Consider the following 27,105-nt stretch of genomic DNA (forward strand, 5'->3'; position numbering starts at 1 on the left):
ATTTCAGTGGAAGGAATAATAGAAACCCCTCAAAATCCAATTTTATAGCTGTATAAAATGAAGAACAAAATGTTATCTTTTCAAATGTCTTTAATTATCTAATATTCTCATTTTTTCTAAAAAGATAATAAAAGGAGGTTTTTTAATTCAAAGGTATAACTGAATAGGTAGATTTGTTTATAGCTATTCTTGTGAAACACTTTTTAAAAAAAATACGACCAACTTCTGTGCAAATAGCAGACACATACCTCAACTATCATGAGCTAATTTTTGGTGGATAATATACATAATTAGGCACAAATAGGCAAGTTCACACTGGTAGATTAAGTATCAAATATTCAGTCAAAACTCCATTTGTGGCCCCCACTTCTTGATCGAGTTCTATTCCCACTTCATCTTCTACCATCTTGTCGACTTCCTGAGTGACTCCCTTGTCGACTCTGTCTACCTGATAGGCCACCAGATGGACCACCTGACTGGCCTGACCCGCCTGACCAGCCACTTGACCAGCCATTCCTCCGTTGGGGATTAGAAGACTTGTTTCCATCATAATATTCTTCAATTTCAGGTAATTTGGCTGGCACTGAGAGTATCCAGTTGGAATCGTGCCACACTGCCTGTAACCTTTCTGATTCAGTTGTAGGAACATCAAAGCAAACACCCATATTTCCTTTCAGGAGGCACACACTGGTAATCTGAGACGCTGTATTACTACTTAGCTTTCTATTAAGTTCTTTCCAGGCACAGGTGACATCCTGTATTTCCTCTAGGCTTTCCAGAGTCATGGTCATCAGAGGCGATCAAAGACTGTGGTTCAAAACTTGATGCACCAGAAATGTGGGCTAAAGTTGCAGCCAATGCATCCACTGCCCCTTTCTCTTCTATCAGTCTCTGAGCTGATGGTCAGAAAAAATCAACAGCAGCATAAGAAACGGAAGTCAGAAACCTGATGGTATCCATGCTTTTAGATTTAACTAAATCCATTGTAGAAGGAACACCTACACATTTAAAAGTAATTCTTGCTTTTTGTTCCACATATCTTAGTTGACCTCTTTCTCTTGGTTGATAAAAACATATACAAATCCCTGTCCAGCTCTACCTGTGCATCCAGAGCGATGGATACGGGCCTCAACATCCTGAGGAGGAGAATGTTGAATCACCAGGTCTACTTCAGGAATGTGCAAACTATGGGCAGCCACATTGGTTGCCACCAAAACTTTAAAACTATCTTCTCTGAAGCCTTTTAGTGTAATTTCTCTTTGTGACTGTGCAATATCCCCATGTAAACACTGGGCATTCTGTTTTATGTGTGGATTCATGGCCATTTCAGTTACATTCTTCCTGGTCTCACAGAAAATAATAGCCCTCCCTTCAGACCCACTGTAGACTTGAAGGACATCTCCAATAACTGCTGGCCTCTGAGACCAATGACACTGAATGGCCAAGTGTTCCACAGTAGTTGCAGCCTTTTGAGTCATTTATCCAATAAGGTCAACCTGTTCATATCTGGATTTCATGTATTTATTTGCAACTTTGTATACCCACTGTGGGCAAGTTGCAGAAAAAAGTAAAGTCTGAGGATGGTCTTCAGATTCAGTTTTGTAGGATTTGTGAATCACATCTTCAACTTGTTCATTAAAATCTAAATCTAACGTTTGATCCACTTCATCAAGCACAACATGGCACAGTTTAGAAAGATCCAATCAGCCACTCTGCAGATGATCTTTGATATGACCAGGGGTTCCAACCAAGATGTCAATACCATTTTGCATATGATTAATTTGGCTTTGATATGGTATTGCACCATAAAAACACACCATGCTGAGTTTCCTAGTTTTATCTTTGAAGTCTTTGGCTACTTGGTTTGCCAGTTCCCTTGCTGGAGCCAAAACAAGTACCTTTGTTGAGCAGCTTTTTAAAAATTGTTTCTTGATTTCTTTGGAGTCTTTCAATCAAGGGGATGGCAAAAAAGAATGTCTTTCCTGTTCCTGTCCATGCTCGAGCTATTAAATCTTTTCTTTCAAATACAGGACAAGGTCCTAACTTGAATAGGAAAGAGATATGTTACCCTTTGATGTTTCAGAAGCTTTACAGTCTCTTCAGAAATACGGAAATAGGAGAAAGCTCTTTCTTTCTGTTCACATGTTAAGGTCTCCTCTAGTTTATTATCACTTGATTTATGAGTAGAACTATCTAAGGATGATACTTGCTTTGATTTTTTTTTTCATATTCATCAATATTTCCATTTGGTAGATCTTTTCTTCCTATGAGATTTAGAGAATTTATCTGAAAGTCTACAAATCCTTCTTCAGTGTCTCCATTTAGCTTCTCTTTCATTTTAGTTTTTTTTGGCCTTGGAAGCATCCAGGTCATCTATAACAACATTTTCTCTTGTTTTTGATTTCTCATCTGGGTCATAATGGTGCCTTGACTTCCTTCTGTCACTCCAGCACTGTGTAATGTGTTTTCAGCTTATCTTGTTTAAATCTTCATAACAACCCTATAAGGGAAGTACAGGTCTATAATCCCTTATCTGAAATTGCAATATCGATAGAGCTCTTAGTGATAAGGTCAGGGGGTAGATTCTGCTTTCTAAGGCTATACAAAATAAGTCTCATTCTTTTGTTGAATGTCAGCCTTCAAATACTGCCACCTTAGCCTCTTCAGCTGATTTCTTTTTTGCAGGTCAAATGTTTCCAGTAAAAATTTTACCTGTGCATTTTCCAGCACCCTGTGATCCTCTGAGTGTTTCAGGATTTTTTTTTCCTTTTCCTTTTTTTTTTGGAGGGCAGGCGGGTGGGAGGAGGAAAGACTCTACAACTCCTCTACAGGCTCCTTGAGGGCAGGGACCATTTCTTAGTTTAAGCCCCTCGGTGCTCAGCAAAGAGTATAGTACAAATTAGGTTCAATAAATACCTTTTGCCTGTCCTTCTTCTGGCTCTCGGACTCCTCCAAGGGTGTTTTCAGCTCCATAATGTCGCCCCAAGGAGTTTCCCAGGCATTACTGGCCACCACCTCCCTCCACGCACAGTGGCCACAACTACCTGTGGGCAGTGACAGCATGGAAGGAAGCTGGGCCTAATGCTTTACTCAAATCACACTGATATTGAAAATGATGAATCATTCTGATGAAAAATGATCAAGTTTCTGCATGAAACCTCATTTTACATTGATTTTATGGCCAAAACGTAAGCTTCTGAAATGAATATATCTTGATACTTAAGTTACTATATTTATTTATTTATTTAGAGTTGGAGTCTTACTCTGTCACCCAGGCTGGAGTGCAGTGGCGCGATGTTGGCTCACTGCAACCTCTGCCTCCTGGGTTCAAGCGGTTGTCCTGCCTCAGCCTCCTGTGTAGCTGGGATTACAGGTCCGTGCCACCAGGCCCAGCTAATTTTGGTATTTTTAATAGAGATGGGGTTTCACCATGCTGATCAGGCTGTTCTCAAACTCCTGACCTCGTGATCCACCCACCTTGGCCTCCCAAAGTGCTGGGATTATAGGTGTGAGCCACCACGCCCGGCCACTTCATTTCTTATTATGGAAATTTGTATTCTCATATTTTCAATTCATACTTTTTAGCCCTGTGTGAATCCGTGTGTACAATCATCACAGACTGCAATAAATCCTTAGGGAATTTTGGATTTAAGTGTGTTGTTTCTCTTGGGATTATTAGACAGGGTTTTTCATTCTCTGTTCTAATAGAAACGAAACCTCTAGTTTTATCTCTTAGAATGGCATTTCAAATCAGATATGATATGTATCCAAATTTATTTCCATATTTTATCCTTTATTTCTGTTTTTCTAACAAAATAAAAGAGGATAAACTAGCTTGAAAGAAAGCATACACTGATTGTAATTTAACAAGAAAATAAAATTTCATCAGGAATAAATGAATCCTAAGAAATGAAATAATTTTTTATATCCTAATGATAAGCACTCATTCAATTGGATGTTAGGAATATCCTACAAAAAATGTTTGCAAGAAAAAAATTTCTCATACCTAATTCACCAGAATTAGGTCAGAAATGATATATTTTCATTCGTAAGACAGTTTCAAAGGATAAATACAATGTTTTTGTAAGGTTGCTATACTCCAGAAAAGGTGTTAAAGTTTACATTGATGATATTCATGTAAGTATGGAAGACAAGAATACTTTCGTCAAACATCATATTGGGATACAAAGAGCATCAAACTAAAAAGCAAATTTAAAGAGGCAAATAGAGTAGGCAGTGTCCTAGGGTAGAGGAGGCTAGTGACAGGGAATAAGAGTAAATGAGCACTTGGGACCTTCCTGGTGTGATGAAATGTTCTAAAACTGATTTATGGTGATGTTTGTACAACTTGGTAAACTTACTAGAAATCATTCACTTGCTCACTTGAAGTGGATGACTTATGGGCTATGTTAGTCCATTTTCACGCTGCTATGAAGACATACCTGAGACTGGATAATTTATGAAGATAAGAGGTTTAATTGACTCACAGTTCAACTGTGAGTCACTGAATTTGAATGTGGAAGTTCTGGCCAGGGCAATCAGGCAGGAGAAGGAAATAAAGGGTATTCAATCAGGAAAAGAGGAAGTCAAATTGTCCCTGTTTGCAGATGACATGATTGTATATCTAGAAATCCCCATCGTCTCAGCCCAAAATCTTCTTAAGCTGATAAGCAACTTCAGCAAAGTCTCAGGATACAAAATCAATGTGCAAAAATCACAAGCATTCTTGTACACCAATAACAGACAAACAGAGAGCCAAATCATGAGTGAACTCCCATTCACAATTGCTTCAAAGAGAATAAGATACCTAGGAATCCAACTTACAAGGGATGTGAAGGACCTTTTCAAGGAGAACTACAAACCACTGCTCAATGAAATAAAAGAGGATACAAACAAATGGAAGAACATTCCATGCTCATGGGTAGGAAGAATCAATATTGTGAAAATGGCCATACTGCCCAAGGTAATTTATAGATTCAATGCCATCCCCATCAAGCTACCAATGACTTTCTTCACAGAATTGGAAAAAACTACTTTAAAGTTCATATGGAACCAAAAAAGGGCCCGCATCGCCAAGTCAATCCTAAGACAAAAGAACAAAGCTGGAGGCATCACACTACCTGACTTCAAACTATACTACAAGCCTACAGTAACCAAAACAGCATGGTACTGGTATCAAAACAGAGATATAGACCAATGGAACAGAACAGAGCCCTCAGAAATAATGCCACATATTTACAGCCATCTGATCTTTGACAAATCTGACAAAAACAAGAAATGGGGAAAGGATTCCCTATTTAATAAATAGTGCTGGGAAAACTGGCTAGCCCTATGTAGAAAGCTGAAACTGGATCCCTTCCTTACACCTTATACAAAAATTAATTCAAGATGGATTAAAGACTTAAATGTTAGACCTGAAACCATAAAAACCCTAGAAGAAAACCTAGGCAATACCATTCAGGACATAGGCATGGGCAAGGACTTCATGTCTAAAACACCAAAACCAATGGCAACAAAAGCCAAAATTGACAAATGGGATCTAATTAAACTAAAGAGCTTCTGCACAGCAAAAGAAACTACCATCAGAGTGAACAGGCAACCTACAAAATGGGAGAAAATTTTCGCAACCTACTCATCTGACAAAGGGCTAATATCCAGAATCTACAATGAACTCAAACAAATTTACAAGAAAAAAACAACCAACCCCATCAAAAAGACACAGCCAAAGGACACATGAAAAAATGCTCACCATCACTGGCCATCAGAGAAATGAAAATCAAAACCACAATGAGATACCATCTCACACCAGTTAGAATGGCGATCATTAAAAAGTCAGGAAACAACAGGTGCTAGAGAGGATGTGGAGAAATAGGAACACTTTTACACTGTTGGTGGGACTGTAAACTAGTTCGACCATTGTGGAAGTCAGTGTGGCAATGGCTCAGGCATCTAGAACTAGAAATACCATTTGACCCAGCCATCCCATTACTGGGTATACACCCAAAGGATTATAAATCATGCTGCTATAAAGACACATGCACACGTATGTTTATTGCGGCACTTTTCACAATAGCAAAGACTTGGATCCAACCCAAATGTTCAACAGTGATAGACTGGATTAAGAAAATGTGGCACATATACACCATGGAATACTATGCAGCCATAAAAAATGATGAGTTCATGTCCTTTGTAGGGACATGTATGAAGCTGGAAACCATCATTCTCAGCAAACTATCGCAAGGACAAAAAACCAAACACTGCATGTTCTCACTCATAGGTGGGAATGGAACAATGAGAACACATGGACACAGGAAGGGGAACATCACACACTGGGGCCTGTTGTGGGGTGGGGGGTGTGGGGAGGGATAGCATTAGGATATATACCTAATGTTAAATGACGAGTTAATGGGTGCAGCACACCAACATGTCACATGTATACATATGTAACTAACCTGCGCATTGTGCACATGTACCCTAAAACTTAAAGTATAAGAAGAAATAAAAATAAAAATAAAAGAAAGAAGTTGGGCTAAATAAACCCCAAAGTATCTCTTATGTCTTCCTATTCCAACATTCTATGGCTATTTTGGCAAAGTAGCCTCAATGAAATCACTTTTTTTCCTTGAAAAATATCTAAGTATAAAAGCTCTTCTAAAAAAAATTAAAATCACCAAACCTTTAAAAACTTCCCCAAAGAAATTACAGATCCAAGATACTTGAAAAGAAACTTTATTTATCAATAAAGCATTGTTGTTGAAGGAATATTTTTATCCTTCCAAAATATATGAAATCAAAGCCACTACGCAGCCTACAATGAAAATGTCTGAGGTGGGAAGATACAACAAGAATGAAAAGAAAGCAGATTATAAACCCATGTTTATGAGTTTCATAGACCTTTATGAACTAGAAAGAAACCTGTAAGGATGATTTAATGATGCTTATACACTTCTAATTTATACCCTCTTTCAATAGGAAACACTTATTAAGCTCGAATACAGGTAAGAGACCATGTAAGATCCTGTAGATATGGTCATATACAGGGATGTGCATGTCTTATGTATTTGTGCATGGGTGTTTGTATATATAATGTATAGTTAACTCTTTTCTGGTGATAGAAATAATACATTACTGCTTCATTTTGCTATTGAAATATATCTAAAGAACATGCACCAAGAAGTGCCTTAGGTCATAGAAAATTAAGGATGACTTCTATATCACTATAACTTTAATAATTTTAACCCTTGTGAAAAAAATCGTTTAACTCCATAGAGCCTATACGGGTAGTATGCATTATTTAAATCAATGGAATTTTCTTCTCAGTTTTTTTTTGTGCAAAATAAGGGACATTCTTTAGAAAATTCTGTGATACTTCTTATCTAGAAAATAATTTGATAAGTTTAATATTTATGCCTTAAAAACATAACATATGGCATTATACTCTGGTAGTTTGTATTCTTGTCAGTGAAGCTAAGCTGGGAATTAATTACATTTTCCATATGTCTCTTACTTGTATCCCTGCAGATTGAAGTTGGCCAAGAAAGGAAGTTACATGCTATTTGGAAGGTGGAAAAAGCAATGGCCATAACCATTTGAAAAATCTTCTCATAGGCAGAATCAGAGACAGACAGAAGAAAGGGTACCAGAGAGGGGCCAGCTTGTCATCACTCACTTCTGCTCCACATCTAGCTTTTCTTGACTACTGGTATTGTTGACCAACAGAGCCTCCAATCCACCCCAGATGCTTGGCTATGGGCCCACAGAGGTCGTGGTTATTCAGAGGCAACAGCTTTTCATAGACCTCTCCACAAATTTCCCCTTTGTGGTCCTACTTTGCTGGCTAGACATACTTGGTTTCTCAAGCTGACTGAGTGGTAACTCTGTCTCTGATCCTCAAACTTCTCTTCAAGTCCTCTTCTTCTCCAGCTTTCTCCACAATTCTAAACGAAGTATCTTATCCCATAACACCCATAGTGTTTTTGCTCCTTGGACTAAACCTTAATAGATACAAATTCCTAATCAATGGAAGAGAAAACCTAACTAAAATAATGAAGAAAAATATGATGATTTTAATTAATTAAAAAACCCAAAAACATTTATGGATGAAGGTGGTGGAAGGTAGTCCAATCACAGAATCTCTCTCATCCAGTAAGATGAAGAAAGACAACAGTCACAGATTCACCAGGAGCAACCAAACAAGGAAAGTGTCCAGTCTCATGCAAAACTTCTAAGAGTGCTGGCCACCAAACAGAAACAAAAGATTCATCCACTTCTGTAAGCAGTTGCCCAGAAAGAAGACGATTTGAAAAAATCTGAGAATTCTGGCTATGAATGAATTCCATTTTGGTAAGAGATGGTTTAAAGTAATGATTCTCAAAATGAGGGCTGCAAGCAGTTTCAGGGGATCTGTGGTCAAAACCCATCTTACAAACAGTTTCAGGGGGTCTGTATGGCCCAAGCTATTTTAATGACTATACTAAGGTTTTATTTATCATTTTCACCATGGTAACATTTTTACTGAAGGTACTAAAGCAATGGTGGGTAAAACTGCTGGCAGTTTAACAAGAATCAAGGCTGTGGCAACACATTTTCTTGGTAGCCACTGTATATCTAATCACTGCACATATAGAGTAAAAAATAAACCAACAATTTCACTTAAGAATGTCCTTGATGAAGGTGTGTATTACGATTATCCCCATTTTACAGATGAGAACATTGAGATGCACAGATGTTAAGTATGTTTTTCAAGGTCAAACAGCCAATAAGTGGTAGAACTGGAATTCCAATCTGGGCAGTATGGCACTAGAAAAAAATAGATAGTACAATTCAATTTATTCATTCACTATATTTTTATTGAGTACTTAATATGAGGCAGATACTACTCCAGGGATCGGAGATACAAAATGATTATCCATCTGTCCATCCAAACATCCATTCATTATTCTCTCTGCATATGTGCATAGAGACCTATAGTAATTTCTAGGTAGTATAATTTTAGGTTAGATGCCTCTCTCTTCTTGGTAGTTTTCTGTACTGCTTGAATTTTACAAATAATGAGCATAAGCTATTTTTATTAAAAACAATAAAGTAATTATTCTTAAGACAAAACTGAACACAACTAATTTCTCTTTTGAAGAAAATACAAAGTAAAATTTCAAGTCTTAAAGGAGTATGAAAAGACTGCTCTGTTCTTTCTTCCACTTTTAAGTATTCTTTCTTCCCACTACCTACATAGCAACAGAATATAGTATACGGAAAATTCTTTTCTAAAATTGATTTAGAAGACAAAGTCTCCAAAATCTTCCCATCCCACACAGCAGATACTAAAGCAATTCTTTTTAAAATACATTATTACAAAGATTCTTTATAAAAAATTAACTGAAAATTCTAGTGGTATTATTGAATCTCAAATAAAAAGAATGCTAATGATGAAGTTATACATAGAACATCACTCATATGCACACTTTTCAGAAATTAGACACTTGCCTTCAGGGGAAATGAGTTCTGTGAAAGTGAAAATGGCATATTCAACTAGTCTTCTTATTCCTGGGGAGAGAATAGCATACACATTTTAACAACAACATCAGGAATACATAAAAGTACGTGTCCTAATAAAATCTAGATGTTTCTTTGTAACCTGATTGATAGTGCTTTTTCAATTGATGGAATTACTAAGATATTTGCATTTAAATTTTTTCTCAGTTTTGGTTTTAATTCACATTCATTATTTATATAGTGGATAGGACAATCATATGCACTAATGTATATTTTAATTTTACAGGGTGAAAATTTGTGATGCTCCAAAGCTTTTGTTTTCAAAAATTTTGGACCAGTACGGGGTGCTTTTTTTCTTTTCTCTATCAAAACTTGTTAGGGTTTCAGAATAAATTGGCCATCCTAATGTGGAAGTCTAGGAATCTGGGTATCCACCTTCTTAGAACCAATAATTCCCTTTATTATAAAAGTATTCGAGGAACATTAAATGCACTGATTGAACCTATTTGTTCTTCCAGGGTCCAGACCTCTAATCTTTATTCTTTAGACATGTTGTTTACAAATGCCAGTCTTAGATTGGTGCTGAACTGACCACATACAAATACAAGCAGAGCTTATTAAAAAGATACATTTATAGTCTCTACTTTGAGAAATTTTAATTTAGTAGTTTAGAATTGGAAGCCAAAATTTATATTTGTGAAGAGTTCTCCAGATTATTTTCATATATAGCCAGATCTGAGAACTACTGACTTAGAATATCCTAAAAAAGACAGGTGGATCATGAGGTCAGGAGATCGAGACCATCCTGGCTAACATGGTGAAACCCCGTCTCTACTAAAAATACAAAAAATTAGCCGGGCGTGGTGGCGGGCATCTGTAGTCCCAGCTACTCCAGAGGCTGAGGCAGGAGAATGGTGTGAACCCGGGAGGCGGAGCCTGCAGTGAGCCGAGATCATGCCACTGCACTCCAGCCTGGGCGACAGAGCAAGACTCCGTCTCAAAAAAAAAAAAAAAAAAAAATGACAGAGCTGTGATGTCACATGGAGCAAACACTTTCTTGGTTAATTTACTGTCACCCCAAAAAAGACATGGAGAAATATCTTGCTAGATTTCCATATTCTCCTGTTTCCCAAGTTTTAGTCAGAATTACAACTAAAGAAGCCAATAAGCATTTTTGTTAGCTGAAACACTTAAAAACTATTAAAAATATCAAAACTTCAGGGGGAAGAAACATTTATCATGAAGCTAATGAAGCTTAAGTTCCACAGCTAATCACATGCATGGGCCACTCTGAGTGCTGATTATTGTTGAAAGTGGCAGTGCCCTGAGTGAAGAGTGGAAGCCAGGTTGCAATCAGAATGCATTCTTTGTAAGTGTATCTGGGAAATGGCCTAAAGAGATCTCAGACAATGTGTGTCTGAATCTCCAAGGCACCAATACACTTATTATTATATTTTTTTATTATAAATAAATATTCATTTTTGTATCTAATTTTGTATTCATGATTTGCATACTTTTTCTTACAGTTGTTTTTCCCAAACAAACACTATTCAAGTCCTATATAACCTGGATCCATCCATGTGTCAATGATCAATATTAAGGATTCAGTGCAGAAATATCAGGGCTATTTAGAGGTATTCCATTGGAAAATGATTACACATGAGATCACTTGAAAATGCACATTAGCAGATAATCTTTGAAGACTCCTCTAAGAAGAATCTGGGTAGAGGGTGCAAAGGTCTTGTAGAAAGAAAGAGCATGGCATATTCAAGGAAATAAAATTAATAGGTTAGAAACTGAAGCAAATAGTTCAAGGGGAGGTTGAGGGGAGATGAAACCACAGGAACCAATCACTGAAGCCACATTAAGGAGTTTTAACCTTGTCCTTAAGGCGAAAGGAACTACCAAAGTGTTCTAAGCATAAAATTGACAGGAGAAAAATTATATTTTTGCAAATTTATTCCGGGCTGTGATGTGTAGATCAGAGGGTTGTCTCAGTACACTTTTGCTGCTATAACAAAATACTACAAACTGAATAATTTACAAATTATTCAGTCTTGAATAATTGGCCTCCTGGTTCTGGAGGCTAGGAAGTTCAAGATCAAGGTTCCAGCATTAGTGTTTGGTGAGGGGTGCTCTCTGCTTCTAAGATGCTGTCCCATTGCTGCAGCCTCCAGAGGGACAAACACTGTGTCCTCTCATAGCAAAAATGACAGGGAAGAGGGTGCTCTCTTCAACCTTGAGCCCATTTATAAGGATGTTAATCCTGATAGTGACAGGAAACAGACAAATTCCTTAGGCAGACAGGGACAAGTCCCCAGTGAAATCCAACCTTCAAGCCAAGGGCAGTCTAAAACCTGAAAACCAAGCTGCCACTTCTGGATAGAGTCCATGACAGGAGTGAGAACTTCCATCCCTGTCTTGCCCAGTCTCTCTTGGTTGGTTCCTTCTGAATGATGCCTTTTCAATCCAAAGGTGCTTTTTCCAAGACCAGCCATGGACAAATCAGCGTGCATTCCCCTATTTTAAGCCCATAAAAACCCCAGATGACAACCCACTTTTGGGTCCCCCTCCCACTGACAGCTTTCTTTCTGTGGCTCAATAAAATTCTACTCTGCCTTACTCACTCTCCAGTGTTCATGTACCTTATTCCTCTTGGTTGTGGGACAAGAACCTGGAACTCACTGAAATGCAGGAGTGGAAGCTGTGCTGAGCTGTGGGCAGCAGGAATAAAAGAGCTGTAACTCTCTCTCCCTCTCATGGAACAATGGGAGAGAAGAAGCGAAGCTGCTGGGCACCACTCCCTCCTACTAACCAAGGTATGGGAGTGAAGAAGTGAAGCCACTGGGTGCCACTCCCTCCTGCTTGCTGAACTATGGGAGTAAAAAAGCTGCAACAATCCCATTCATGAGGGCAGAACCCACAGGTCTAATCACCTTTCAAAAGTCATACTTCTTAATACTACTGCATTGGGCATTAAGTTACAACATGAGTTTTGGAGAAGACATCATGATTTAAACCATAGCATTCCACTCTTGGATCCTCAAAATTCATGTTTTTCTCACATACGAAATACATCATTCCATTCCAGTAGACCCCAAAAGTCTTAACTTGTTTCAGAATCAACTTTAAAGTCTAAGTCCAAAGTCTTATCTAAATATCATCTAAATCAGATGTGAGTGAGACTCAAGGTATAAATCATCTCAGGCAAATTACTCTCTAGCTATGAGCCTGTGAAATCAAACAAATTATCTACTTTCAAAATACAATGGTGAGATAGGCATGACACAGACATTTTCATCTCAAAAGGGAGAAATAGGCAAGAAGAAAGAAGTAATACGTTTCAAGTAAGTCCAAAACCTAAAAGGGAAAACAACGTTGAATATCAAGTCTTGAGAATAATCTTCTTCAGCTCTATCTCCTGTCTTACGGACTTACTGAGACTGAAGTTGGGCTCCAAAGGCCCTGGGGGATCCCACCCCCATGGCTTTGCTGGATGCTGCTCATGCAGCAGTTCTCATGAGTTGGAGTCATGTGCCTGCAAGCTGGGATTGCACTCTGGCAGTTCTAGAGTTCTGGAGTTTCAGGGCAGCCTTACTCCCACAGCTTCATGAGACATTGACTAAGTAGAGACTCTGTGGTGGCCCCACCTTCACAGACCTGCTAGGCATTGCCCTGGTGGGGACTTTTTGCAGTGGCCCCACCCCATGACTCTGCTAGGCATTGCTCTACTGGAGACTCTCTGCAGCCACCCTGCTCCTGTGGCATTTCTTTGCCTGGCCACCTGAGACTCTCTGAGTCATCCTTTGAAATCTAGGTGGAGGTAGCAATACCTCCACAGCTTGTGTACTTTGCATGCTTGCAATCTTAGCACCACTTCAATGATGAATGTTGATACCTTTTAACCCCACAGCTGGGAGCAGTTCACCAGAGTATGGGGGAGGAGAGACTTGAGGTGACCCTGGGCAGCAAACCCCAAGGTTCCACAGGTGCCCTGGGCCCCTCCTTTGAAACTTCTGCCTTCAAGTCTCTGGTATTCTTGGCCTGTGATGGGAGTGGCAGTCTCAAAGATCTCCAAAATGCCTTCAGAGTTATTCTTCCATTGTTTTGATCAATAGCATCTGGCTTCCCTCTATTCATACTAATTTCCTTATCAATGAGTAGCTTGGCCACATCCTCAGTTTTCCCTCCTTAACCATACTTTTGTTCTTTATATAACCAAGCTGAAATTTTTTCAAATCTTTACCTTCTGCTCTACTTTTGACCGTAAATTCAATCTCGAGCATTTTTTCTCTTCTCACACTTTACTATAAGCGGTTAAGAAAAGCCATGCACCACCCTGAACACTTTGCCTAGAGATTTCTTCCACCAAATGTCTTAGTTCATGGCCCTTAAATTTTGCCTTCCACAAAGGATTAGGACATGAACATAATTCAGGCAGTTCTTTGCCACTTTGTAACAAAGATGACCTTTCCTCCAGTTTCCAATAAGATATGCCTTATTTCCATCTAAGATGTCTTCAAAATGCTCTTTTCTATCCATATTTCTACCCACAGTCTGTTCATGACCACTTAGATAATATCTAACACTGAAGCTTTTATACTGCTTTTCTCTTCTGAGACCTCACCAGAATTGCCCTTAATGCTCCATTCACAGCAATCTAGGCTTTTTCTAGCACGCACTTTAAAACTGGTCAAGCCTCTACCCATTATCTATTTCCAAAGCTGTTTCCATATTTTCAGGTATTTGTTATAACAATACCTTACTTATGGTACCAATCTGTAAGCCAAAAATAAAATCCTAGGCCCTCAACCAAATGACTGGACCCTCTTTGGGCCAAACAGACCCCTAGAGAAACCTGAAAAACTGAATTCTCAGCCATGACAAAAAGGGAGGTCAGACACTCCTTGTTATACTCTCTTCCTGTTGGAGTTTAGGCACAACTGACCAGCACTGACATTAAAATAGAGATCATAAGACTGATCTCCTTGAGGCAATAAGATATCATATTAGAACCTACTCTGGTACAGCATTACATGACAGATAGCAGACCCTGAAGGAAATCAAAATACTTTACTCCAAAATACATTTCTGTGACATAATTTAAAATGGCCCTGCAAAGCTGCCTTTGGTGGGGGAAATTTGCATCTGTAGACAATCTCCATTAATGCAGCCAGGACTTTCCCTGATTTAGGAAAGATTAACTAAGAGTCTAACACCTTTTAAGGTCCAAAAAGAGACATTTACATCTATTCTCTGTGATGGCTGTTACCTATAAAGCTTCATCTGTCTTTGGTCTCCACAACTCCCCTTATGTTAACTCAAGAATGTCTTTCTACAGACTTTAAGTCTTTAGGTAAAGCTTAACTCCTTTCAACCAATTGCCAGTCAGAACATCTTTGAATCTACCTATGACCTATAAGCCCTGGCATTGAGATGTCCTGTCTTTCTGGGCCAAATCAAGGTATACCTTACATGTATTGATTTATATCTTTGTCTGTGGCTTCTGTCTCTCTAAAATCTGTAAAACCAAACAGTAACTTCACCACCTTGGGCACACTTTCTCAGGATTTCTTGAAACTGTTCCCCAGGACATGGTCACTCATATTGGCTCAGAATAAACCTCTTTAAATATTTTGCAGAGTTTGGTTTTATTGTCAACAAATTTCCATCTTAGTTCATTTGTGCTGCTTTAATAAAATACCTGAGACTGGATAAAGAACAGAAATGTATTGCTCACTGTTCTGGAGGCTGGAAAGTTCAAGATCAAGGCTCTGGCAGGATTGGTGTCTGGTGGAGACTACACGCTGCTTCTGAGAGGAGGTTCCAGCTGAGCTTCCTGGGTCAAGTAGGGGCTCAGAAAGCTGTGAAACTCACTCCTTTCCTGCATCAGGACTTATTTTGGTCTTGGATGAATAATATTGAAGATATATGCTGAAAATATTCCTAACATCAGAATTTGTGCCTCTGTTTTCTTCCCCAAGAAAGCTATAAACAGTGAAAATTTTGTTGTAAGCTTCCCTGTGTCCTCTCTCCCTCTCTCCCTTCCCCCCCCCGAAACTAAAAGGAATGTTAAAAGCCAGTTTTTCTGTGATCAGCAGACCTTATCTATGCTTCCAATTCCAATTCCTTGTAAACACAGTTTGTTAAGTCCTGTGAGATCCTGTCTCCTTTGCCATGCCACTGCAAGGTCATAAAGTAGATAAACTTAAGTTACAATTCCGGTTCTCCTCAAGATCTGAGACATGTTAATTGTCTTTGTTTCTTGCTCTGGTAACATCTTCCCACTGCACGTATTTCCCTCCTTAAAGAGTTTAAAATGTAATTGAAAAATCTAACACTGGCTACCCACTTGGGACACCTTCCATGCTGTGGAAGCTTTGTACTGTCACTCTGCTCAATAAAACTTACAGCTTTTTTTCTCTTGGTCTGATCCATGTCTCTCTCTCACCATGGGCGGCCGCCCCACCAAATCTTTGGCATGGCTAAGGCAAGAACCTTTGGAGTTACATTTTGGCGAGCCAGCCAGGAGGATCTCCAGGAAAGGCATCTCGATCCTCACATGGTGAGTACGATTAGACCTCTTTCGCTTGCTATTCTGTCCTGTCTTTCCTTAGAATTCAGAGGCTAAACTGGGCACCTGTCAGCCACTTAAAGGCGATTAGCGCGGCCGCCGGACTAAAGACACGGGTGTCAGGCTGTCTGGAAAAGGGCTGTCTAACAACCCCCGACCCTCCAGGGCTGGGAACGTTGGTTAGTTTGGACCCAGTTCCTACTCTTTCACTTTCTGTGGTGGTCCCGAAGTACACCCGGGAGTTATCAGTAGACATTCTAGTCTTCCAGATTTCCTGGTTGAGACCATGGCCCCGCCAGAGGCTCCCCCTGCAAGGGTTACTGAGCGTGAGACCACCACATCTTCTGACCCCTGTCTCCTGGGTCCCAATGTCCACTGGCTAGACTTCTTTTCTCATCTTGCAAGCAAGGTTATTCCCACTAGGCAGGATCAAGATTCCCTATTTAGAAGTCTTAAATTTTTGGGGTAGTGCCCAGAGGATCCCTCTTCATGGTACCTTCCAGGGTTTAGGCAGGTATCATCGTTTGATGGCTATTTTAAAGGGCCAGTTCCCCACCATAGGGTATGGTCCCCTACATCAGGACAATTTAAAGACAGGCCTGTAATTTTCATGTGAATAGTAAAAACCTTAAGGCATTTCCTCCATTGCTTCCCACATAGGTTTTCCCCTTCCTTAGGGCCTCTCAAGTACAATCTGTGGTGCATGGGTACAGCTCTTAGAGCCGTTGAATTGCTATTTCAACCATTCAATAGTTGGTATTGGAAGGAAGAAAATATAGTCAGTTGGGACACAGGATACTGGTACTGCCTTAAGAGAGGGGCTTACTCCTTTGATGGCAAGTGGGGACAGAAGGCTAGAGTACAGCAGCTGTTCTCTCAGCCCTGGCCTAGAAGACATCTACCACCCCTTTATGCTTACTAAGCCTCCTGTTGCTAATTCAGAGATTCCTCCTTGAAGGACAGTTTTATGGCCAGGCCCACGTAAATTGGGCCTTAGCATGCAAGCATCAGTGGTGCCCCAGACCCGGGCCTTGCCACCCTGGAACAGGTAGAATGCATTGGCAGAAGGATCACAATAAATCCAACAGTCCTTGTGCCCCATTTAGTGGTCAATGGGCGCACAGCAGGGGCAAGGGAAGTTTCCATCCCGCTGGTAAGCATGGTTAAATCCGGTACATGGAGGGCTCAGGAAAAGCAGCCATGAGCCTTGAGCACAACTGGACCTGACCCTCGGGGGATGCCATAGGGAAGACGAGTCCCAAGACTAACCACGGGTGTGGGAATCCCTGTGTTTAAAATTCCAAATGGGCACCATGCCTTCAAAACTGGACACTCCCTTAAGATGGGACAAATTCGACCCTGAAACCTTAAAAAAGAAGCGGCTGATTTTCTTCTGTACCACTGCCTTGCCACAGTATTCCTTACAAAATGGAGAAACTTGACCCTCTGAGGAAAGTATTAATTATAACACCCTTCTACAGCTAGATCTTTTCTGTAAACAGAAAGGTAAATTTAGTAAAGTCCCTTATGTACAGGTTTTCTTTGCCCTTCGTGACAATACTGCCCTGTGCCAAGCCTGCAAGCTTTGCCCAAATGACAGAGGCCCACAGTTGCCTCCACACTCAGGGCCTCTTCCCTCAACCCCACTCTCCTCCCCAACTGACTCTCCTCCATCCGGTCCCACCGAAGTGTTAAAGGCACACCGGAAAGAGAACGTAAACTCCGTGAGCCAGGCACCCAAACTATCTCCCTTACAAGGGACTATGTCCCTTACAAGGAGGAGAATTTGGGCCCATTCACGTGCATGCCCCCTTCTCACTCTCAGATTTAAAACAAATAAAGGCAGATTTAGGGAAATTCTCAAATGATCCTTATAACTATATAGATGTCCTGCAAGGATTGGGGCAGTCCTTTGATCTAACATGGAGAGATATCATGTTGCTTCTTGATCAGACCTTAAGTCCTACTGAAAAAGAAGCAGCTTTAGCTGTAGCCCGGCAATTTGGGGATCTGTGGTACTTTAGCCAGGTAAATGATCGAATGACCCCGGAGGAGAGGGAAAAATTCCCCACAGGGCAACAGGCAGCCCCCACTGTAGACCCTTATTGGGATACTGACTCAGATCATGGAGATTGGAGCCGCAGGCATTTGCTAACTTGCATTTTAGAAGGGTTGAGGAAGACTAGGAAAAAGCCTATCAACTATTCAATGCTATCCACAATTACACAGGAAAAAGAGAAAAACCCCTCCGCTTTTCTAGAAAGGCTAAGGGAGGCCCTAAGAAAGCACACCTCCCTAACTCCATATTCTGTAGAAGGTCAACTTATTTTAAAGGATAAATTTATCACCCAATCAGTGTCTGGCATAGTCTGCTTTAGGCCCAGAACAAAATTTGGAGACATTATTAAACCTGGCAACCTTGGTATTCTATAACAGGGACCAAGAGGAACAGGCCAAAAGGGACAAGCAAGATAAGATAAAGGCTGCAGCCTTAGACATGGCCCTCAGACAGGCAGACCTTGGTGGCTCAGAGGGAACCAAGAGAAGAGGAGGCCAATCGCTTAGTAGGGCTTGTTATCAGTGCAGTTTGCAAGGACACTTTAAGAAAAATTGTCCAACAAAAAACAAACTGTCCCCTCGCCCATGTCCAATATGCCAAGAAGGTTTGAAAGGAAGGTTTGGAAGGTGCACTGCTCCAGAGGATGAAGGCCCTCTGGACCAGAGGCACCCAACCAGATGATTCAGCAACAGGACTGAATGTGCCTGGGGCAAGTGCCAGCTCATGCCATCACCCACACAGAGTCCCAGGTAAGGTTGACTGTTGAGGTCCAGGAAGTGGACTTCCTCCTGGACACTGGTGTGGTCTTCTCAGTTTTAATCTCCTGCCCTGAACGACTGTCCTCAAAGTCCATTACTATCCGAGGAATCTTAAGACAGCCTGTAACCAGGTATTTCTCTTGCCTCCTCAGCTGCCATTAGGAGACTTTGTTCTTTTCACATGCCTTTCTTGTTATGCCCAAAAGTCCCACACCCTTATTAGGGAGGGACATATTAGCCAAAGCTGGGGCCATTATCTACAGGAATATGGGGAACAAATTACCTATTTGTTGTCCCTAATTAAAGAAGGAATCAACTTTGAGGTATGGGCCTTAAAACGACAATTTGGAAAGGCAAAGAATGCCCATCCAGTCCAAATCAAGCTAAAAGACCCCACCACTTTTCCTTATTAAAGGCAATATACCTTAAGGCCTAAAGCTCTCAAAGGATTACAGGATATTGTTAGACATTTAAAAGCTCAAGGTTTAGTAAGAAAATGTAACAGTCCTTGCAATAACCGAATGCTAGGAATACAAAAAACAAATGGTCAGCAGAGACTAGTGCAAGACCTCAGGTTTCACTTGTCTAACTTCAGGCATTTTTTTCATCTATAATAACACAGCCTATTGATGCCTAAATGGCACTCTGAAAGAACAATGCTTTCTCTCCTTTCTAGCACCTCCCATGTCCATATATACTGAACAGGAGTTACAAAGTCTCCTTATACCCCAATCTCGCCACACGTGAGCCCTTATTGTCCCTTTTATTGTAGGAGTCGGAATACTGGGCAGGCTTGGGACTGGAATTGGAGGCATAACCTCCACCACCAATTTATTATAAATTATCACTAAAATTAAATGATGACATGGAATGAATTGCCAACTCCCTAGTGACCCTACAAAGCCAGCTTAATTCTCTAGCTGCAGTAGTCCTTCAAAACCGGAGAGCCCTAGACTTATTAACAGCTAAAAAAGGAGGAACTTGCCTCTTCTTAGGAAAAGAATGTTGCTATTTTGTTAACCAGTCAGGAATCATTACTGAAAAGGTCAAAGAAATAAGAGAACAAATAGAAAGTAGAAAAAAGGAGCTTGAACACTCAGGGCGCTTGAATATGTTTAACCAATGGATACCTCGGCTCCTCCCCTTTCTAGGCCCTGCGACAGCCATCCTACTCGTTTTTGGGCCTTGCATTTTTAACCTCCTTGTCAAATTTGTTTCCTCAGGATCGAGGCCATCAAGGTACAAATGGTCTTACAAATGGAACCTCAAATGAGCTCAACTCACGGCATCTACCAAGGACCCCTGGATCGACATACTGGTCTCTGACTAGCCTAAAAAGTTCCCCTCTGGAAGACACCACAACTGCAGGGCCCCTTCTTCGCCCCTCATCAGCAGAAAGTAGCCAGAACGACTGCCGTCCAGTTCCCAACAGCAGTTGGGGTGTCCTGTCTAGAGGGGAGACTGAGAGGAGGTTCCAGCTGGGCTTCCTGGGTCAAGTAGGGGCTCAGAAAGCTGTGAAACTCACTCCTTTCCTGCATCAGGACTTACTTTGGTCCTGGATGAATAATATTGAAGATATATGCTTAAAATATTCCTAACATCAGAATTTGTGTGTGTGTTTTCTTCCCAAGAAAGCTATTAACAGTGAAAATTTTGTTGTAAACTTCCCTGTGTCCTCGCTCCCTCTCTCCCTTCCGCCCTCCAAAACTAAAAGGAATGTTAAAAACCAGTTTTTCTGTGATCAGCAGACCTTACCTATGCTCCCAATTCCAATTCCTTGTAAACACAATTTGTAAAATCCTGTAAGATCCTGTCTCCCTTGCCATGCCGCTGCAAGGTCATAAAGTAGATATACCAATATCTCACCTTCCAAAGGTTACTGCTATTGTTGTATTGGGGATTAAGTTTCAACATGAATTTTGAAGGGGACACCATTATTTTCAAACCAGAGCAAGGGGTTCAAACCTAAAGGCCAGAGGACCAGTATGGAGGTCATGGAGAGAGAATGGTGATGAGGATAGATGAGAAATAGTGGCTATAATGAGATATTGGTATATCAAGACATATTTAGGTTGTAGGATTTGGTCACTGCTTTGATGTGAGTTGCGGCAGAGAAAGAGGAGTTAAGAATGTAGACCAAGTACGTGGCTTGGGCAACTGAATGATGATGGTATTATTTTCAGAGACAGGAAACACAGAAGAGAAGCAAGTTTGGGAGGATGGGATAGTGGGTTCAGGAGAAGATAATAAATTCAGTGTTGTAAAGCTAAAATTGAGGTGAAATTGGATGTCCAATTTTAGAAATTCAGTAGCAGGAGATTGGGTCTAGGGCATGGTGCTCAGGAGATATTTTTTCTGGAATATATATTTCAGTAAATATTTGGGTATATATTTGAAATAAAATTGAATCAGGAGTTTGTGTGAAATGAGAAGAGGGTATTAAGGAACATGGACATTTAAAGAATGGGCAGAGATAAAGGAGACAATAAAGGAGGCTGAGAAAAAGTGGGCCAAAGAGGTAGGAGGATTGTCAGGAATGTGTCATGTCATGGAAGTCAAGGATGGAGTAGAACAGTGTCAAATGCTGCTTAGATATCAGGTAGGATAAGAACTGAAAAGCTCATTGATCCCTGGAAGAGCAGGGAACACAAGATAAGCAATCAGGCTACTAAAATGGAATCAATGCAAAGATGAACATACACATTCTTTACTACCAGGGGCCCATACTGGGACAGTGGCTGATGAAATTTACATCGAAAAGCACTTGGAAGATTTTGAAAGGAACCCAGGAGCTTTCATCACGGATTGCCAAGTACTTTAATTAAATAGCCTGTGTTTTATCTGACAGTTTCAATTTTATAAAATCCTCTCTTGTTATGTTTGTTTGTATCTGTCAGAACTAGTCATCAGATGTTTTTGTTCAAGGAAATATGGTGCTTGTATATTTTAGGAACAGACATGATTAGAACAAGAGATACAACTCACCCTGTTTTCTACCTTCTTGTACTTAAATGACTTAGACAAGAACATACATGGGTTGCATCTAGAATTCTCTGTCTTCTACTCCTCTCAGGACTCCTTTATTCAGGCATCTATACCTCAAATCTTCTGCACCAGTATGATGTGTGAGATTTTAGGTAAAGCTAACCTACCATGAATAGAGTAAATGATTGTTCATTGCTGTATTCACAGTGCCTGATACAGGTCTGACATATAGTAGGCACTTAACAAATGTTTGTTCAATTAATGGATGAAAGCAAAATGGGAAAATCAATTTTAAGTTTTGTGTCTAACAAAAAAGGGAAAAAATAAACAAACAAACAAAACAACAAAAACAGCCACAGAAAATATCTTTTGGGTGCTTAGAGTTTGTTTTCCTGACCAGTTTAAAAAATTTATGAGCTGTTCGAGAGCTCAATCATATATCTGAAGTGACCAACAAAAGTCTTTTTTTCCTTCTATTTTCTTTCTTTCTTTTCTTTTCTTTTCTTTTTTTTTTTTTTTTGAGACAGAGTCTCTTTCTGTTTTCTGTTGCCCAGGCTGGAGTGCAGCGGCACAATCTTGGCTCACTGCAACTTCTGCCTCCTGGGTTCAAGCGATTCTTGTGCCTGAGCCTTCTGAGTAGCCGAGATTACAGGTGTGCTCCATGACACCCAGATAATTTTTGTATTTTTGTAAAGATGGGGTTCGCCATGTTGGCCAGGTTGGTATCGAACTCCTGGACTCAAGTGATCCGCCCACCTTGGCCTCCTAAAGTGCTGCGATTACAGGCATGAGTGAACACACTCAGCCCAAAAGTCCTAATATTCCCCAAGGGTCCCCAAATGGTAGGTAGCTGAAGGTGAGGGCTCTCTAGTCCCTCACAATATCCAGAAATAGAGGGATGTTTTAGACTCAAACTAGGGTTAGTCAAAATGCATAAAAATTAATATTCTGATTTTCAAAAAGCAAAGAAGAGGAACATTGGCATGCCAAATTTATTTGGGTTATAATATGGGTCCAAAGGGCATATATATATATTAGAAGAAATCATGGCAAATCTTATGAACCAAGGGAGGATTGAAAAGCAGTTGACTGCTGGCTTGCCTTATGCTTTTCTGATACCATCATTAGTGAGGCAGCCTTTGGTCCTCAGAGAAACACTTGAAATGGGCTAAGCAAACCTACTGGCATTTCCAATAACACATCCAACCTTTCTAACAGACTGCTATTACAGTTACTTAGCCTTGTTTCCTCTGGCTAGCCTTCCAAGCTATATAATGTGGTACAGTTTGAGCAAAGATAAGTATTTAGAATTAGTTATATGGCAGCTTTTGGCAGAGGTTTGTTCCTGAAAATTCACATTTCATATGCTCCTTAAGAAATATTCAATATGAAATGCTAATTAAAGTGTTTACCCAAGAGCCACTTTTTAATATCACTTGCTTCCCTTTCTTTCATTTTCTTTCACTTTACTCTCCTTTTCCTACTAGAGGCACACTGGGTCAATATCCAATTTTATTTGGGTTAAATAGGAAACATTACCTTCAAAAATTTAACAAATGATTTGAGGACACTTTGTCTTCAATAGTTCCATGCCAAAACATTACATTTTGTACATGTTGTATTAATTCAAATGACTGTAATCTTTTTAAGAGAGTTTTTTTCCTCTATTTCCTCTATTGAACTCTATTCAGTACCATCATCATAGCCTATCACAGGGCATTTTTGTTGGTATTAACTCCCTATAAATTCCTGTCCAAAATACCTGTAGGCTATTTTGTCAAATTGAAGCTAAAACATTATTTTTACCAGAGGACTGTATGTTCCAGAATGTAAACTTTTAACATGCTGAATGAATCCTAATACTGAAATTTATCATGAATAAAATTATGTTTTCTCATATTCCCTAGTTGCAGTCAGTCTTATCAAACATTTTAACAGATGAATTATGTTGAAAATAGACAGATATTCATGTCCCTGATTATGGAAAGTATATCATTTTATATGTCAACTTGACTGGACTAAGGGATCCTCAGACAGCTGGTAACACATTATTTTTTGGGGGGTGTGGGTGGTCTGTGAGGGTGTTTCTAGAAGAGATGAGCATTTCAGTCAGCAGACCCAGCAAACAATATTGCTCTCACCAATGCTGGTGGGCATCATCCAATCCACTGAGGGCCTAAATAGAACAAAAAGCCATAGAAAACACAAATTTGCTCCCTGTTTTAGCTGGAACATCCATCTTTCCCTGCTCTCTAACATCCATGCTCCTGCTTTCAGGGCCTTTGGCCTTAGACTGGAACTCACACCATCAGCTCCCCTGGTTCTCAGGCCTTCTGACTTGAACTGAATTATACCACTGGCTTTCCAGCTTCTTCATCTTCTAAATAGAAATTTGTGGGACTTCTCAGCCTCCATAATGATGTGAGCCAAATTCTATAATGAATCTATTACTCAGTCTATCTAGCTAGCTAGCTATCATTTATCTATTGTTTCTCTAGGAAACCCTAGTTAATACAAAATGTATACAATGTATTCCTGTTTTTATCATGTATTTGTTAATGATTTAATTCAATCTTTAGTTGCTGGAAGCAGCATCTCTCAGGGTACTCATCTCATTGTTTGTAAAGAAGTCATATGGTCAGGACTTCAAGTTAGTTAAAGAGATTTTAAGTTTCTCTGCTATATATCAATAATCAGTTTCTAAAAAGACATCTGTAGTAGCTGTGTGCTTATATAAGTCAATTTTCCCTGTTCAGGTTGATGTCAGGATGAAACAATATGTATAAAGAGATTAGTTATTGGGATTAATGTCAAAGTTCTACAATGAAGTCAAATAAATGTGTAAGTGTGTACATGTATATGTATTCATATAGTATGTGAATTTATAATTTTTTCCAGTTACCAACACCAAACAAATATTTTGGAGGAATGGAAAACAAATTCATATAATGTGTTCACATATTTCATGTTTTGTCTTAGAGAAACGGGAGGAAAGCAGCAGTGTTCACTGGGCATTTCTGTTTTGGAGAGCTTTATCTAAAAATATACATGTCTATTATAACATGGAAGATAAAATGCAAAAACACTCCCTCTCTTGCACTGCTCCTGAGAGGCAGTGCAGCTCAGTGGTTAAGAGGTTGGGTAGAGGAGTCATATCTTGGCCTTACCATTTTACAGATGGATGCCCTTGAGCAACTTCTCTGTGCCTCAGTTGCCTTTACATAATAAAAAGATAACAATAATGACCACTTCATAGAATTATTTTGAGAATTAAATAAAATAAGGTGAAATAATGAAATAAAACAAATGTGTAAAGTATTTAGAAGACTGTATACTTCAAAAATATTAGCTATTAGTGTTAGCACTGGTAGCCCTGAATTAAAAAAAAAAAAAAAAGAGGATAACAAGCAATAAAATACATGGGGTAGAGGATAGTAGAAAATCATAGCAGGTATTTATAAAGTAAAAAGACGTGAATTGCCAGTGGAACATAATTTTAAAGTAAATCGAATAGAAATGTGTTATGACTTAGTGAATATTTGATAGTGTGGCCTTTCAACAAGAATATTAAATAAAAGGGATTTTAGGCAAAGGATGTTTTGTCCTTAAATTTATAAAGCATGTCTTTGTAAGCTAATATTGAACAGTGAACTTTGGGCTAGAAGATCTTGATCTGCTCTGTAATTATTATTATTATTATTATTATTATTATTATTATTATTACTGAGTCTCATTCTGTCACCCAGGCTGGAGTGCAGTGGTGTGATCTTGGCTCACTGCAACCTCCACCTCGTGGGTTCAAATGATTCTCCTGCCTCAGCTTCCTGAGTGGCTGGGACTACAGGCGTGCGCCACCATGCCTAGCTAATTTTTGTATTTGTAGTGGAGACGGTGTTTCACCATCTGGCCAGGCTGGTCTTGAACTCCTGACCTCACGTGATCCCTTCGTCTCTGCCTCCCAAAGTACTGGGATTACAGGTGTGAGCCACTGTGCCCGGCCCACTCTGCAATTATTTTTACAAACAACTTCTTCGTAATATAATTTGCATTCCACTAAACTAACTCATTGTAAAGAGTGCAGTTCAATGATATTTAGTAAATTTATAGAGTTGTGAAACCATCACCACAATCCAGTTTTAGAACAGTTCCATTATATCCCACAGAAATTGCTTCATGCCCATTTTTAGTTAATTCCTAGCTCCAGCTTCCCAGCCCTGATAATCACTGACATGCCTCTGGTTATATATATTTAAATTTTATGGACATTTATATAAAAGAAATCACACAATATGTAGTTTTTTGGGTCTGGCTTCTCTTACTTTGCATACTGTTTTTGAAGTTTTTCATGTGGTAGGATGTATCAGGAGTTCATTTCTTTATATTGCTTAACAGGATCTCATTATATTGATATATCCCCCCCCCCTTTTTTTTTTTTTGAGATGGAGTCCCCTCTGCCATGCAGAATGGAGTGCAGTGGCATGATTTTGTCTCACTGCAACCTCTGCTTCCCGGGTTCCAGTGATCCTTGTGCCTCAGCCACTGGAGTAGCTGGGATTACATGTGTGCACCACCACACCTGGCTTATTATTATTATTATTTCGCATTTTTAGTAGAGACAGTGTTTCACCATGTTGGCCAGGCTGGTTTTGAACTCCTGGCCTCAAGTGATCTGCCCACCTTGGGCTCCCAAAGTGCTGGGATTACAGGTGTAAGCCACCACACCGGAACTATATAACACATTTTTAATCCATTCTCTACTTGAGGAACATTTGGATTACTTACAATCTTTGGCTGTTATGAACAATGCTGTTGTAACCATTCATGTAGCTGCCTTTGTAGGGACACATGTTTTTAATTTTTTTTGGTAGAATGCTAGGAGTGGAATTCCTGGCTTGTGTTATAAGTTTATGTTTAATTTTTAAGGAAACAGCTCAACTATTTTCCAATTAATTTGTACAACTTTGTTTTCCAAACAGGTTGTGCAATAGTCTGTACAGAAATTTAGAATTTTACATTCCCACCAGCAATGCACGTTTCATTTTTTAACCTCACCAACACTTATTGCTGTACCTTTTTGATTGTAGCCATTTTTGTGGGTGTGTAGTGGTATCTCATTGTGGTTTTAATTTCTGTTTGTCTAATGATTTTGAGGATCTTTTTATGTGATTATTAGCCACTTATATCTTTGATCAAATATCTGTTTAAATCTTTTCTCCATTTTAAAAACTGGCTAAATT

The 27,105-nt window shown here is 39.6% G+C and overlaps 1 protein-coding gene and 1 pseudogene across 1 annotated transcript in view, besides 1 other annotated feature; both read right to left on the reverse strand.

The window, feature by feature from the left end:
• Positions 1-27,105, reverse strand: part of GPR149 (G protein-coupled receptor 149) — a 95,248-nt gene that overhangs the window by 16,855 nt on the left and 51,288 nt on the right. The gene's annotated exons all lie outside the window — the stretch shown is intronic.
• On the reverse strand, positions 119-3,069 carry DDX50P2 (DEAD-box helicase 50 pseudogene 2; annotated as a pseudogene).
• Positions 11,753-11,922: an enhancer, noted in NCBI's record as "experimental_65446 CRE fragment used in MPRA reporter constructs". NCBI's record gives its function as "activates a minimal promoter by MPRAs in K562 erythroleukemia cells, with activity observed for both the introgressed and non-introgressed 3:154081424 variant alleles {active_cell/tissue: K562}" and the evidence as "EXISTENCE:reporter gene assay evidence [ECO:0000049][PMID:34662402]".

This window comes from Homo sapiens, chromosome 3 (assembly GCF_000001405.40).
Source record: "Homo sapiens chromosome 3, GRCh38.p14 Primary Assembly".
In the NCBI taxonomy this organism is placed as follows: Eukaryota; Metazoa; Chordata; class Mammalia; order Primates; family Hominidae; genus Homo; species Homo sapiens.